Source organism: Homo sapiens, chromosome 5, assembly GCF_000001405.40.
Source record: "Homo sapiens chromosome 5, GRCh38.p14 Primary Assembly".
NCBI classification, from domain to species: Eukaryota; Metazoa; Chordata; class Mammalia; order Primates; family Hominidae; genus Homo; species Homo sapiens.
In genome coordinates, this window is record NC_000005.10 from 172,167,691 (window position 1) to 172,183,368 (window position 15,678).

The 15,678-nt window shown below is 51.2% G+C and overlaps 1 protein-coding gene across 3 annotated transcripts in view, besides 3 other annotated features; it reads right to left on the minus strand.

Annotated features, from left to right (window-relative positions):
* STK10 (serine/threonine kinase 10) overlaps window positions 1–15,678 on the minus strand; it is a 146,146-nt gene that overhangs the window by 125,612 nt on the left and 4,856 nt on the right. The window lies entirely within an intron of this gene.
* Window positions 7,581–7,807: a silencer, noted in NCBI's record as "fragment chr5:171602275-171602501 (GRCh37/hg19 assembly coordinates)". NCBI's record gives its function as "represses an EF-1alpha promoter that drives an FKBP-Casp9 reporter gene in an ReSE screen in HepG2 liver carcinoma cells {active_cell/tissue: HepG2}" and the evidence as "EXISTENCE:reporter gene assay evidence [ECO:0000049][PMID:32094911]".
* Window positions 11,365–11,474: an enhancer, noted in NCBI's record as "active region_23625". NCBI's record gives its function as "activates an Ori minimal core promoter by ATAC-STARR-seq in GM12878 lymphoblastoid cells {active_cell/tissue: GM12878}" and the evidence as "EXISTENCE:reporter gene assay evidence [ECO:0000049][PMID:35858748]".
* Window positions 11,705–12,408: an enhancer, noted in NCBI's record as "H3K27ac-H3K4me1 hESC enhancer chr5:171606399-171607102 (GRCh37/hg19 assembly coordinates)". NCBI's record gives its function as "activates a minimal SCP1, AML or CMV promoter by ChIP-STARR-seq in naive H9 embryonic stem cells {active_cell/tissue: H9 hESC(naive)}" and the evidence as "EXISTENCE:reporter gene assay evidence [ECO:0000049][PMID:30033119]".

A 15,678-nucleotide genomic window follows, 5' to 3' on the forward strand; every position in this document is an offset into this window, starting at 1 on the left:
TTAAATTAATAGATATGAAGCAAAAATTTAGTTCCTCAGTTGCATTAGCCACATTTCACGTGCCACCACACTGTGGCTACCGTATTGAACAGAGCAGGTACATACAGAACACTTCGATCACTGTAGAAAGTTCACCCCCAGCCCTCTCTGGCAGAAAATGCCTCTTCGGAGGTAAGGGAGCATCTAAAACTCACTCCACTGTCCCAGACCCAGATTCTGAAACATGGGTTTCTTTTTCTAGGAAGCAAAAGGGGACATGTGCAAGGAATCAGCAGAGGAACCCCACCCAATGATCATTTGCTACGGAAGTCTCCTAGCAACCTGGCTGAGTGGCAGGTGTGAGGGAAGGCTCCCAGCTGACCTGTCGGATGAAAAGCCTGGGTGTGGGTCAGAGCCAAAGGACGGAGCAGTCAGGGCTCAGGGTTCCTATTTCCCTGTCTTTATTCTGGACGGCCGTGCCAGGCATGTATCAAATATGGTTCAGGCCACTGGAACCAAAGCAGGGCTTGGTCTGGGTGTCACACAATGTACAGCTGTGCTGTCCCTGCCTGAACACAGTTAATCTTTGCATGGTGATGAAGGCGGTCAATCGCAGGAAGGGCTGCGACTCTATTTAGGAGAGAGAAAATCTGGCCCCAGAGAAAACCACGGTCACAGCAGAACTGACTATGTGCAGGAAAAGGGCCCAACATAAAGCCAAAGGGGGTGACCTGAGGACAGCAGACACAGAGCCGGGGTGGCCAGCTGACATGGGCTTGAGTTTAGAGCCCACTAAGGCCCCTGGCTGGCAGGCGTGAGTCAGCAGAGGACAGGAGCCTTATGCACCACGGGCCTGGGCCTTGGGAGGCCCAGGTCCTTGCGGGCTCAGGATGAAAAAGGCCTGTCAAACCCTCTTATGGTCTCTTGCTGCAGGGCAACGAGCAGCCCGCCTTTCTCCAGCACAGGCCCATGAAGTACACAGAGGTACCACCATCGCCTTTTATGGAAGAGAAAAGGGAGGCCCAGGCAGAGAAACTGACTTGTCCCAGGTCACATAGCTAGGAGGCACTGGCAGGCCTGGAGCTCAGCTCTGGCTCTCCGCCCAGTGCTCTGTGCCCTCAGCAGCCCACCAAAGTTGTCATGCCAGGGGTCTCCCGCCCAGCTGCTCAGTGTGCCAGCCCTCCTTCCCCTCTTTCCCTCCGTGGCCTTCAACCAGAAACACTCAGGGTGAACCCTCAAGGGCTCCTAGCTGCTGACAAGCTAACGCAGGAGCTCCCTGGCCCAGCACTCACACCCTCATGACCTGCCCCTGCCCACTTCCCCAGGGTCCCGCCATTCCCTCTCACTCAGCCCCGTGCCTGCTGCCTACTTCCCAGCCCTCTTCATGCTCCCTCCTCCACAGAGAACACCTCCTCCCTACCTGCGTTTAATCAGCCAGCAAAATCGAACTCAACCCCAGCCTAGCTCATGACATCTTCCCCAGAACCCCAGCCCACCTCCCCGACTAGAATCTCTTTGCACCTTGTTAAGGTTTTCATCGCAGACTGCCCTGTCCCCTGGGCATCTGCATCACAGATTCTCTGACCTGGCTGTGATCTCTGAAAGGCTCAGCCCACCTGACTCCTCTCAGTCTACCCTACAGAGCCTGGCACAGAAGAGCCAGTGGGTAGATGGGACAGTGGGAGTGGGAGTGAACGGGAAGATAGGTGGGCAGACAAGCACATGGAGGAGTGAACGGATGGGAGGTAGGGGCTGGAGGAATGGATGGGAAAATGAGTTAAGTGGGATGGTGAATGGATGAGAGGTTGGGTGAATGGATGGGTGGGCAGAAGAATGGGAGGGTGGGTGGATGGGCAGATGAATGGAAGGATGGACAGATGCATGGGAGAGTGAGTTGGCAGGGGCATGAATGGGTGTGCATGAGACTAGGTGGGTATGAGAGGGATAAAGGAATGACATGTATGTCCAGGGAGTAGACAATTATCATCTTCCCTTCTTTCCAAAAGGCACTTGAGCCCACCCTTGCTGGGTTCTATGAACATCAGCCTCTCTCCTTCCTTCAATCCTGTAGCCAATAAAGTTATTGTTACAGGAATCGACCCCGCTCCCTCCGATGTCCCCATCTTGGCAAACTTAGAAATGAGCAAATTTCTATCGAGCAATTTGTGGAAACAGCGCAGGACCTAAGCTCAAGTCCCAACTCTACTACTTACTAGCTAAGTGTGCTTGCGGAAGCCAGGACACCAGGCCTTCGTTTCCTGATGAAGACATAAACAATTTCAGTGACGCACGGGAAAATCAATAAACCACTATGGGTTAGCCAGTTGACTATTGGTTGTTACTGTTCTCTCTTGGAACTGTGTATTTTTTGTTTTTGAAAGCCTAAAAACATGTTTATTTTGTTCACCAATGTATCTATTACTCTGGTCATGGCAGACACTCAGTATGTATCCTTTTTTTTTTTTTTTTCAGTATGTATTCTTAAATGACTAAGGAATGAATGAATAAAACTGGTGTTTGTGCCTCCCTGCAAACAGAGAGAAATGAGGTCCTCCACATAAGAGAGGAAAGGAAAGTGATAAGAAGTCGACTTTCTCCATAACATATTTCTATTTCTGAATCTCTGGCTGTTCTCCAGTTTTGAAAGATGGCACCTCTTTACCTTGCAGGAGCCAAAGCCTTCGACTGGGCCAGGATGTACACAGCTGAGTCCTGCCAAGCAGAGAGAAACCACTTCCCAATCAATCATCACCATGCCAAGTTTCAGCTCAACGACAAGTGAGATGGCCAAGTTTCAGAACAAGTGACATGTAAGGATGGCAAAGATCATGAAGCCCAAAAGCAGAATGACGTGGCTTTCAAAGACGTGCCTTGAACACTGTCTCCCTCAGGGAGGGGAAGCCTGGCCAGCCACCCTGGCACAGCTCAGGGAAATGTTGAGCCGCAAAAGTTCTTGTGAACCAGCAAATAAAATACGGAAACCCAAACGGGATTGGCCCAAAGATACCAAGTCTTGGCCTTGGCTGAAAACGGGAGCAACCTGTCCAACTTGGCTGGGGATGTGGGAGCCCTCAGATGTTAGCTCTCCAAAACCAATGGGGAATCCAACCCACCTATCACTGATAAAGGAGGCGTGAAAGGTGCCCATGGGCTCTGCCTCCTTGCAGGGGACCGCTCCCACCTTTCCCAGGCTCCTCGCTACCCAGAGGAGGACAGTGAGACTCAATGCGGAGTTGCAGAGGGGAGAGGACTCCGGGGTCCACAGAGGAGGAGGAAGTGAGGAAGGAAGCACTTTATGGAGGGCCACCTATGCCCCCTGCCTGCATGTGTTTAAGACACTCATTTAATCTTCACCACAACCTTGGGGGTCGTGTCCATTCATGAACTCTGTTTTAGAGACAGTATCAAACCTCAGAGAGGTTAAGTCGGCCTGTTTATTCCATCAACAGTCCTTGTGGTGCTGAAGTAACATCTGTGCGTTAAAGACAATCTTAAAAATATAATGGTACAAGGAAGAAAATCAAAGCTTTTCATAATCCAAGGGACTCGCCTTTGGTATTCTGCGGTGGGACGTTCTTGAACTGTTTCCCAATCCCAGCTCTAACACTTCCCAGCTGTGTGCCCCTGAGGGGACTTCTTTGTCCTCACTTCCCAGCCTTTTATACCTTTACATAATGAAGATGTAACCGCTCCTCCTCCAGAAGCTGTTGTGAGCATTTAATGAGTTATACGTGAAAGGCGCTTAGAAGAGGCTGGGTCCTTGGCTGCGCATGGTGGCTCAAATGTGTAATCCCAGCACTTTGGGAGGCTGAGACAGGTGGATCACCTGAGGTCAGAAATTCAAAACCAGTCTGGCCAACAGAGTGAAACTCCATCTCTACTAAAAATACAAAAATTAGCCGGGCATGGTGGCACACTCCTGTAGTCCCAGCTACTTGAGGAAGCTGAAGCAGGAGAATCACTTGGACCCGTGAGGCAGAGGTTGCAGTAAGCCAAGATCGCGTTACTGCACTCCAACCTGAGCGACAGAGTGAAACTCTTGTCTTAAAATAAAATAAAATGAATAGAATAGAATAGAATAGAATAGAATAGGCTGGGTCCAGAGTGAAAGTCTAGAAATATTCACTCATTATACTCTCTCTGGCCACAAATATATTCTTCCATACTTTACAAAATTGGGATTAAACTGTATACACTGGTCATTCTTACTTTCACTTAACAGTATAGCATGGCTGGACACAGTGGCTCACACCTGTAATCCCCCTGTAAGGCCAGCACTTTGGGAGGGGAGGTGGGTGGATCACCTGAAGTCAGGAGTTTGAGACCAGCCTGACCAACATGGTGAAACCCTGTCTCTACAAAAATACAAAATTAGCCAGGCATGGTGGCACGCACCTATAGTCCCAGCTACTCGGGAGGCTGAGGCAGGAGAATCTCTTGAACCCAGGTGGTGGAGGTTGCAGTGAGCTGAGATGGCACCACTGCACTCCAGCCTGGGTGACAAGAGTAAAACTCCATCTCAAAAAAACAAACAGTATGGCATGCACAGCCCTTCGGAGCACAAAACACTCTTCCCCAACGTCATCTCCAAGGGTGGCAGAATGTTCCACTGAGTGACGGGACCCTCCTCTATTTGAGCAGCTCCCTATCATGGGGCCATGCCACCCTGGTCGCGTGGTGCCGCATCCAAAAGCATAGGCCTTGATTTACATGTTGTCAAATGCTCTCCAAATGGCAGGACCAAGCTATACCCGTGTTCCACCAACACTAGGTATCATCCAGATGTGACGCTGGGCTTGGGTCAGTTCTGCCACATCTGGCTGTGTGTCCTTGGCACTGGCCTCATGATGGTGCAGGTGTAAAGATGCCTATGTCCCACTGTGAGAGGCACTATTGTCCCTATTTTGCAGAAAAGAAAACCAAGGTTCAGAGGGGTGACATCACTTGCCCAGGGTTACACAGCAATGCCAACTGCTGAGCTGCGACTTGTAAGATGAACAGCATCCCCAGGTCAGAAGCCTCTGAAGTGGCCGGGCGCAGTGGCTCATGCCTGTAATCCCAGCACTTTGGGAGGCTGAGGCGGGTGGATCACTTGAGGTCAGGAGTTCAAGACCAGCCTGGCCAATATGGTGAAACCCTGTCTCTACTAAAAATACAAAAATTAGCTGGGTGTGGTAGCACGTGCCTGTAATTCCAGCTACTCGGGAGCCTGAGGCAGGAGAATCGCTTGAACCCAGGAAGCGGAGGTTGCAGTGAGTCGAGATCGCGTCACTGCACTCCAGCCTGGGTGACAGAGCAAGACTCTGTCAAAAAAAAGAAAAAAAAAAGCCTCTGAGGCGAGGAGACCCGCGTGGGGTGGGCTGGGGTCTTCAGGGGTCCTCTCCTAGCCACTGTAGATGGTCCTGCAGCCAGACCAGAGGCCAGCACCAGTGTCTGGAGCTCCAGTTTCCTCATTAACAGAGGCGCCCCAGTCACCTCTCCCCAGCTCAAAGATGGGTTTCCTATCACCTCAAAGTGGCGGTTGTGGGGAGGGCAGTGAGGGCCCCCAAAAAGAAGGGGTCTTGAGAGGGAGCTCAGGCTTCCCCAACCCCGTATCAGGGCCCTCTAAGATGCAAAGCAAGGGTAGAAAGAATCTCAGGGCTGACCAGGGAGGTTCGCCAGCTCTGACAAGGGTCATTGCCTCAGGGTGACAATGCTGGCTCTGACAGTGGCAACTGCCTCATAGGGCCAAGCGTTGGGCCTGGGCTCCCAGACAAGACTGTGTGGAGCTTTCCAGGAAGGAGAGTGAAGGGAAGCCAGGCATCAGCATTAGCTTCTTTCTCCAGGGCACAAATGCTCCACTTCTGGTGCCCTCAACTACAACTCACCCTGGGGCAGGCACGGAGCTGAGACCTTACACTCATCCCACCAGACCCCCCAGTAGCCCTGTGCCGTCTCCAGGCTGGGATGCAGGCTTATTTTATCTTCATAACAGAGAGAGCAACAAACTGAGGCTGATCCCAGAACGCTTTACATCCCTCCACCCAGAAGCACCCTGCAGTGTAACAGGCAAGGGAGGAGTTCAGGGCCTCAAGGCAATCTGCCTCTGTCAAGCCCCAGGAAGGGGAAGATCAGCTTAAGTCACCCCACAGAAATGGCAACAATCACAGTAACAGCCACATTTACATCTTGTGTGTGAGGCAGGACAGTGAGGGCTGGCCACAAGCATCAATGTTCGCAAAGTCGGGGCAAAGGGCTGTTTTGATTTAGACGTCACAGCTCAAGATGCTGAGGATCAGAGGGGTGAGGTGACTTGCCCAAAGTCACACAGCCAACAGGCAGGGAAGCTAGGAGGAAGCTCAGAACTGATTCCAGCGCCACATCATAACCACAATGCGGCCTCCCGAGTGTAGCCACGTCATAACCACAATGCGGGGCCTGTCCAGGGAGAGGCAACAAGCGAGGCCCGGCATTCACTCACTCATCCTTTCAATTGCTCAGCAGGTATTTTTTGTTGTTGTTGTTGTTTAATTTTTTTTTGAGACGGCGTTTCACTCTTGTTGACCAGGCTGGAGTGCAGTGGCGCAATCTCAGCTCACTGCAACCTCCGCCTTTCGGGTTCAAGCTATTCTTCTGCCTCAGCCTCCTGAGTAGCTGGGATTACAGGCGCGCACCATCACGCCCAGCCAATTTTTGTATTTTTAATAGAGATGGCGTTTCACCATATTGGCCAGGCTGGTCTCGAACTCTTGACCTCAGATGATCCACCCGCCTCGGCCTCCCAAAGTGCTGGGATTACAGGTATGAGCGAGCCACTGCACGCCTGCAGCTCAGCAGTTATGAACTGAACATCTACCCTCCGCGGGCCCTGTTCCAAATGCAGGGGACACAAAGATCACTCCTTGTCCTCAGGGACTTCACATCTGCTGGAGGGGACAGAAAATAAAGAAGGAGAAACACAAGAGAATCCCAGTTTGTAACAACAGCCCTGAAGGAAATCTACAGGCAGCTGCCACCATGGTCAGGGAGCGGTGGTCGGGACAGGCCTCTCTGAGGAGGGAATCTGAGTTGAGACCCGGAGAATGAGGAGGAGCCAGCTGTACAGAGTCACAGGTAGACTGGCAGGCAGGGGACCCGCCAGCGCAATGGCAATGGTCCGGAAGCAGAAAGGAGCTGCGCTTCCCTCAGCTCCTCCCAGAGGCACCACTGGCCTCCACCACCCTGCACCACCTGACCCAGGCTGGCTGGAGTTAACTCTTCAGTCACCAGTGCATTGGTAAAGTCCCTCCTCGTCCCCATCCTTCTCCCCAAGTCTTAGTGTCTAATTCTGGCTCTGGTATAGCCTGTTTTTTCTTGTTATTGTTGTTTTCAGACAACCTGCTTTTCAGTCAGGGTCTTGCCCTGTCACCCAGACTGGAGTGCAGTGGTGTGATCACAGCTCACTGCAGCCTTGAATTCCTGGCCTCAAGTGATCCTCCTGCCTCAGCCTCCAGAGCAGCTAGGACTAGATTTGGTGCCACCACGCCTGGCTAATTTTTTAAATTTTTTGGAAGAGATGGAGTCTTCCTATGTTTCCTAGGCTGGTCGTGAACTCCTAGCCACCCGAAGTGCCAGCCCTGCTATAGTCTGTTAGTATGAAAAAATCGGTAAGCTATGGGGGGAGAAGGGAAAAAATGCATCACAGGGGAAGCAGAGAGAAAGGGGAAGAGAAAGAGTGAAGTGGAAGGTGAGTATGGTGGAGAGAGGGAGAAGGGAGAAGGAAGCCTTTCAGCACTCACCCTCCCTGCTCTGCTGACAAGACCCAGAGACACCCTGCACTGCAGGCTGCTGCGGTCCCAGCAGCCCCACCCACCAGGGTGCCAGGAGGGGCCCCAGGAGCACTCAGCTTCCCCGCCCTGACACCCGCCCTTTTCCCCTGCCACTTCCTGTGCTAGTCCTGCCTGCACCCCTCACCACTTCCTCTGCATGAGAGGCCACCATCCATCGCCATCCAGCTGAGGCACGCTTGCAAAGAAGGGTGACATTCCTGGGCACAGAGACCACAAGGCCAAGAGTAGACACCGCACTGAAGCGACCGTGGACTGCCCAACAAGCCCGTTTGTCTTTCTCTCTGTGCTATGCAAGAGAAAAGAGACACGCTCCTGGCCAGAAAGATCTGGATGCAAGTCCCAGCCCTGCCAAAAAAAAGCTATGTGACCCTGAGTAAGTCACTGTACCTCTCTGGGTCTCTGCTTCATCAGGTGTGGAGTGAGGATATCCCCCTACCTTTCATGGGGATACGAGAAGAATAAATGATGGACATGTAGGAACTGAGCAAAAGTCAACTCCCTACTCATCTATCTTGTTCACTTTGGAACCCACAGGGCCTGGCACAAGTAGGTGCTCAATAAACAATCTAGAGCTAACACTTACATGACTTCTTCCAGTGTCCTAGACTAAGTGGTTTCCATGGGTTGTCTCATTTCATCTTCCAACAGCCCTATGTGATTGTACCATTACCATCACCATTTCACAGCTTAAGAAACTGAGGCAGAGATAAGTAAATTCCTCAGCATCACACAGCCTGCAAGAGGTAGAGCCAGGCTTGAACTGCAGGAATTCCTCCAGGTTCCCAGACAACCTCTGATCCGCAGCAGACACAAGCTTGCCTTCCTGTCTCATCCTCTCTGCTCTCTTTCCATCTCCTAAGATGCCCTAGACTCTTTCATGCCTCCTGTCTCACAAACATCTTCTCAGGCTGGTCACCTCTCACCTGTCACCTCACTCCCTCAGCTCTGATTCGGGTTCCAACTACAGCTCTGGCCTTCCCTCCCACACCCACCTGGTTCGGTCACCAGGGTCGGTCACTCTGGCCCAGCCTCCATTCAGCATGGACCACCTTAGTTTTGGGCAGCCAGGAATCCTGGCTCTGGCACCCTGCAATTGTGTCGCCTCTCTGGTCATGGCCTCCTCCCCCATCAAAAGACAGTCCTTCTCTAATGTTACATGGGCTGACCTGATCAGGCCCTGGGGGACTTAAGGCAGGCAGGACATTTTTTGAGATCAAAACTGCCAAGTCTAAATTCATTGGCTTAGCATTCAAAGCTCTCTTGACTTGGTCCCTGCTATGGTCCGAGTGTCTGTGTCCCTACAAAATTCTTATGTTGAAATCCCAACCTCCAAGGTGATAGCATTAGAAGGAGGGGCCTTTTGGGAAATGATTAGGTCTTAATGAGATTAGTGTTCTTGTAAAACAGACCCCAGAGGCCGGTGCGGTGGCTCACGCCTGTAATCCCAGCACTCTGGGAGGCCGAGGCGAGTGGATCACTTGAAGCCAGGAGTTTGAGACCAGACTGGCCAACATGGTAAAACGCCATCTCTACTAAAAATACAAAAATTAGCCAGATGTGGTGGTGCACGCCTGTGATCCCAGCTACTCTGGAGGCTGAGGCACAAGAATCACTTGAACCCAGGAGGCGATCATGCCGCCAGTGAGCCGCGATCATGCCACTGCACTCCAGCCTGGATGAAGGAGTGCAGTCTTTAAAAAAAAAAAGAAAAGACCCTAGAAGGCTAGCTGTCCTTCTGTCCCTCCCACTATGTGAGGTCACAGCGAGAAGGCACCATCTATGAAGCAGAGCAGGCCCTCGTTAGACACCAACTCTGTGGGAGCCTTGATCTTGGACTTCCCAGCCTCCAAACTATGTGAAATAAAATGTTTATTGTTTGCAAGCCATCCAGCCTATGGTATTTTGTCACGGCAGCCCGAATGAGCCACGCCCCCAAATGCTATTGCAGATCTGGCCTGGCCCTGGCCCATGCCCACTTCCCAAATCCAGTGACCACTGGGTTTGAGGAGGCAACAGTAGAGGCCAGATCTGTCGTGCCCAACATGGCAGTCACTAGCCACATGTCACTATCGAGCACCTGACATGTGGCTGGTGCAGATGGAGATGTGCCATAAGTGCAACACCCACCAATTTCAAAGACTTCGCATGAAAAAGAATACAACACATTGCTTTAATTCTGCATTTATTACATGCTGAAGTGATAAATATACCATTAAAATTCATTTCCCTATTTTTCCTCTGGTTTGAATGAGGTGACTAGGAAACCTGCCATTGCCTGTATAGCCTGCGTAACACTCCCTTGGACAGCATCATTAGCCCAGAGACAGAAGGGACCAACTTACCTGTTTTTGTTTTGTTTTGTTTTGTTGAGACAGAGTCTTGCTCTGTTGCCCAGGCTGGAGTGCAATGGCGCTTTCTCAGCTCACTGCAACCTCTGCCTCCCAGGTTTCAGGTGATTTTCCTGCCTCAGCCTCCCAAGTAGCTGGGACTACAGGCATGAGCCACCACACCCAGCTAATTTTGTATTTTTAGTACAGATGAAGTTTCACCATGTTGGCCAGGCTGGTCTCGAACTCCTGACCTCAGGTGATCCACCCACCTCGGCCTCCCAAAGTGCTGGGATTACAGGTGTGAGCCACCGCGCCCAGCCCAGGATCAAATTATCTGATACTTACAGAGAAGACCGAAATCTGGGATTTTCTGTGAAATCTCTTCATTTAAAAATACTGGCAATCAAGTCAAATTTGGTTCAACCCGCGTGGGGGCCACACCGTGTGGCCCCATCCTCAGGCCACATCAGGCCGCTACATCAGGCTCAACGGCCAGCAGTCAGCAACCTCGGGCCACTCATGGGCCGGCCTCTCTCCTGGCCTGGACTTCCTTCCCTCCACCTTATCACCATCCCGCCTGCCGTACCAGGTGGAAGCTTCCCCGCTCTCGGCTGGCTGCCTGCTTGTCCCTGTACAACTCTCATCTCAGGCAGCACCTTTCGGTCTCCTCCCCCATGACACACTGGAAGCAGCAGGGGAGGCCGCCTTCTTATCCTGAGCACCTACGGTGGCTAACTGGATACCCGCTGTATGAGCTACTCAGGCAATTCTCACAATAGCTCCCGCAGGTGTAGTCAGCCCCACTGTACTCATGGGGAAGCTGAGGGAGGCTGAGACAAGCCACTTGCCTGAAAGGACACAGTGGCTAAATGGCACAGCCGGGATGCAAACCCTGGCTTCTCTGACTGAAAGACCCAACTCTCTCATTGCACACCCAGAGACCTGACAGAGGAGGTCAACAAATACCGTCTGCCGGGCTGAATAAAGGAACGCTCGTCTGCACAAGACAGTGGTTCTCAGCTGGAGCCATTATGCCTCCCTCCCCCATGGAGCATGTGGCAACGTCTGGGGACACTTTTGGTTGCCACAACTGCAAGGAGGTGTTCTGGCATCCAGTGGGCTGAAGCCAGGGATCCTGTGGAACACCCTATAATGTACGTAACAGCTCCATAACAAAGAACGACCCCACCCAAAATGCCAGTAGTGCCAGGTGAGGAAGCGCTGGTATGAGGGCTATGCTATCAACACCGAGGTATTCCTGCCTTGTCCCTAAAGTCATAGTGACAGGTCAGGAGCTTCTCCATCTGACACCAAGAGCAGCAATCATAACACCTCATCGTCATTTCCTGAGCCCTTCCTGGGTGAGAATCAGATGCTAAACACATCACCTCCTCAACTCCTCTCAGCCCTGTGGCCAACTCCACTTTGCAGACACAAGATTCAGGTTCAGAGGAGGAGGTGGTCACCTATTTGGGGTTCAAATAGGGCCAGGACTAGGACCCAGATCCTACTGAGCCCCAAATCTCTTCCCTTCACCACCACCCTGTTCCACTACCCTCAGCAGCAGGGGGCCTGAGAGTGACCACCCAGGGCTGTTCTGGGGGCTATGGGGTGACAACCTCTGGAGAGTCCCCCTAATCTAGGTAACCTTGGCAGGCCAGGCCACAGGAGAGTCCTAGGTGGAGGGCGGGTCCATCTGTTTGTTTCGATCCCTTCCACCGCAGCTTGCTTTCGCATCAGCCAAAAAAAATTCCCAGAACGGCCAGTGTGAAATCAGACCCGCAGGGCTGTGGGCAGGGCCCCACGCAGAAGCCGAAGGGCGTCATCCACGGGAAGTTCAGACCCCCTTGGATGAGGGCTGAGTCACGAGTTAGAAACCCACTCACAATAGCATGGACTTGGGTTTAAAAATACTTGGCTGAGCGGAAACAAGGTTACTGCCTGGGGCCAGATCTCTTTCCGGAGGAGGAGGGGAGGACTGAGACCTTCCCCATCCCCAGAGGAAGTGGAAACCCAAGCTTTCAAACTAGTAGGCAGGAGAGGAGGTGAAAGGAGAAGACTCTGGCTCAGGGACGGGCAAGACGGCCTGGGAGGGCTCCTACCTCACTTAACCTGAGCTTCCTCTCAACCAGGCAGGGAGGGCAGAATGTCACATCACTCCTAAAGCCAGCACACAGCAGAGGCACCTAAGCTCTGAGCAGCAGCTGCCAAGGCCCCCTGTGCACTTGAGGGGTCTAAGAGGACTTGGGAATTGGCTCTCAGCAATAGCAAGAGACAAAGGGGACCTGTATTAATTTATCTCATTTTATTTTTAAAATCACCCTCAAATAGGCATATGCTTTGACCTAGTAATTCCCTTTGAAAGTCCGGCCTAGGCCGGGCGTGGTGGCTCACGCCTGTAATCCCAGCAGTTTGGGAGGCCGAGGCGGGCAGATCACCAGAAGTCAGGAGTTCAAGACCAGCCTGGCCAACATGGCAAAATCTCGTCTCTACTAAAAAATACAAAAATTAGCTGGGCATGGTGGCGGGCGCCTGTAATCCCAGCTACTTGAGAGGCCAAGGCAGGAGAATCACTTGAACCTGGGAGGCGGAGGTTGCAGTAAGCCGAGTTCGTGCCACTGCACTCCAGCCTGGGCGACAGAGCAAGACTTCGTCTCAAAAAAGAAAGTCTAGCCTAAAAGGTAAATTAAAATACAGCAACGGCCAGGTGCAGTGGCTCACGCCTGTAATCCCAGCACTTTGGGAGGCCGAGGCAGGCGGATCACTTGAGGTCAGGAGTTCAAGACCAGCCTGGCCAACATGGTGAAACCCCGTCTCTACTAAAAATACAACAACAACAAAAAAAAAAAACATTAGCCGGGCGTGGTGGCGCACACCTGTAATCCCAGCTACTCAGGAGGCTGAGGCAGGAGAATCACTTGAACCCAGGAAGCAGAGGTTTCAGTGAGCTGAGATTGCACCACTGCATTCCAGCCTGGGCAACAGAGTGAGACTCTGTCTAAAGTAAAATAAAATAACATACAGCAAGAACTCTACAAAGCTGTTCATCAAGATACAGTTGGCTCTGTGAGAACCCTTATTTTGAACCTGCCAACTTTGCTCCAACACCATCAACATACCAGGGAGTGATTCTGCTATAATGCTAAGGTCGTATTTGGTTACATATAGAAACAGCAAGTGAACGCCGCAGATGAATGCAGAAAACTGCACTCAGCTGACTCAGGTGTTGAAGGAATGCACAAAACACACAGGCACACACCTCTGACATCCATCAACCACCTCTGAGCCACACCCATGTGCATCTGCCATCAGATTGCACACACACCTCCTTCCACAGCTCCCTACGCTGCTGCCTTCCCAGCACCCACATCCACCCATGTGGTGCATCTTTTTTCAGGTAAAATGCCTACTTACCGCAGCATGTGCGTATTTCTTCTCCACGTAACTTGCGTAAAACTGTACTACTGGATTTTAGATTCTGAACTTTTTTTAAAAGACGCCACTGATGAAGTTTTTAAGTGCTGTGCCCTCAACCCCATTCTTCCCATAAGGCCTCTGGTTTTTACTGCATGATTTTGCATAGCTCTGTGATTTTTACGAAGGGATAATTGTCTTCTATTACGTATTACGTAAAGCGCCTAGCACAGTGCCTGGCATACGATTATTTAATTTATTTTAATTTTTTTTTTTTTTGAGACAGAGTCTCGCTGTGTCACTCAGGCTGGAGAACAGTGATACAATCTTGGCTCACTGCAACCTCCACCTCCCAGGTTCAAGCGATTCTCCTGCCTCACCCTCCCTGAGTAGCTGGGATTACAGGCGCCCACCACCATGCCAGGCTAGTTTTTGTATTTTTAGTAGAGAGGGGGTTTTGCCATGTTGGCCAGGCTGGTCTCGAACTCCTGACCTCAGGTTATGCTCCCACCTCGGGAGGTGGAGGTTGCAGTGAGCCAAGATCGCGCTAATGCAATCCAGCCTGGGTGACAGAGCAAGACTCTGTCTAAAAGAAAAAAAGAAATAAAACACTACAGATACATATGATTAGAACCAAGCAGGAAAAAAAATTCACCACAACATCAAAAGTCTAGAAGGAAATATATCAACATGTCAACAGACGCTGATGGAACCCAGGGTAATTTTTTTCTTCTTAATTGCTGCTATTTGTTTGGTAAACTCCCAATTTTGCAAAACAATAAATCTTTTAAAAGTTTAAAAAGGCCGGCTCGGTGGCTCACGCCTGTAATCCCAGCACTTTGGGAGGCTGAGGCGGGCGGATCACAAGGTCAGGAGTTCGAGACCAGCCTGGCCAGCATGGTAAAACCCCGTCTCTACTAAAAATACAAAAATTAGCCGGGTGTGGCGGTGCGCACCTGTAATCCCAGCTACTTGGGAGGCTGAGGCAAGAGAATTGCTTGAACCTGGAAAGCGGAGGTTGCGGTGAGCTGAGATCGCACCATTGCACTCCAGCCTGGGTGACAGAGCTAGACTCTGTCTCAGAGGGAAAAAAAAAAAAAAAAAAAGGCTTAAAAACAACAAAAAATCAAAACCAAAGCAATTTTCTATTTTTTGTTTTGTTTTGTTTTGAGCCAGGGTCTCAGGGTCTCATTCTGTTGCCCAGGCTGGAGTGCAGAGGCGTGGGTGCAGTGGCTCACCACAACCTCTGCCTCCCAGGCTCAAGCTATCCTCCCACCTCAGCCTCCTGAGTAGCTGGGACCACGGGCGCATGTCACCATGCCCAGCTCATTTTTTTTTTTTTTTTTTTTGAGACGGAGTTTTCGCTCTTTCACCCAGGTTGGTTTGCAATGGCACAATCTCAGCTCATTGCAACCTCCACCTTCCAATTTCAAGCGATTCTCTTGCCTCAGCCTCCAGAGCAGCTGGGATTACAGGCGCCCACCACCACGCCTGGCTAATTTTTGTATTTTCCGTAGAGACGGGGTTTCACCATGTTGCCCAGGCTGGTCTTGAACTCCTGACCTCATGATCCACCCAATTCAGCCTCTCAAAGTGCTGAGATTACAGGTGTGAGCCACCGCGCCCGGCCAATTTTTTGTATTTTTGGTGGAGATGGGGTTTCGTCATGTTGCTCAGGCTGGCAAAGCAATTTTTAAGAAGGATACCAGGCTCAGTGGCTCATACCTATAATCCCAGCACTTTGGATGGCTGAGGCAGGAGGATCACTTGAGCCTAGGAGTTCAAGACCAACCTGGACAATATAGTGAGACCCCATCTCTACAAAAAATTTAAAAATTAGCCAGGTGTGGTGGCGTGTGCCTGTAGTCCCAGCTACTCTGGAGGCTGAGACAGGAGGATCCCTTGAGCCCAGGAGTTCGAGGCTGAAGTAAGCAATGATGGTGCCACTGCACTCCAGTCCTTGAGACAGAGTAAGACACTGTCTCTAAAAACAAACAAAAAGAAGCAGAAAAATCATCTCAGCCTGCTAACCCAACTCCTTTCATTTCTCCATGCTCCCTGTCCACATTGTGTGCATGAGTACCTGTGTTGCCTGCTGCTATCACAGCAAGCACACCCGCTAAAGTCAGCTTTTCCCACTCAATCTA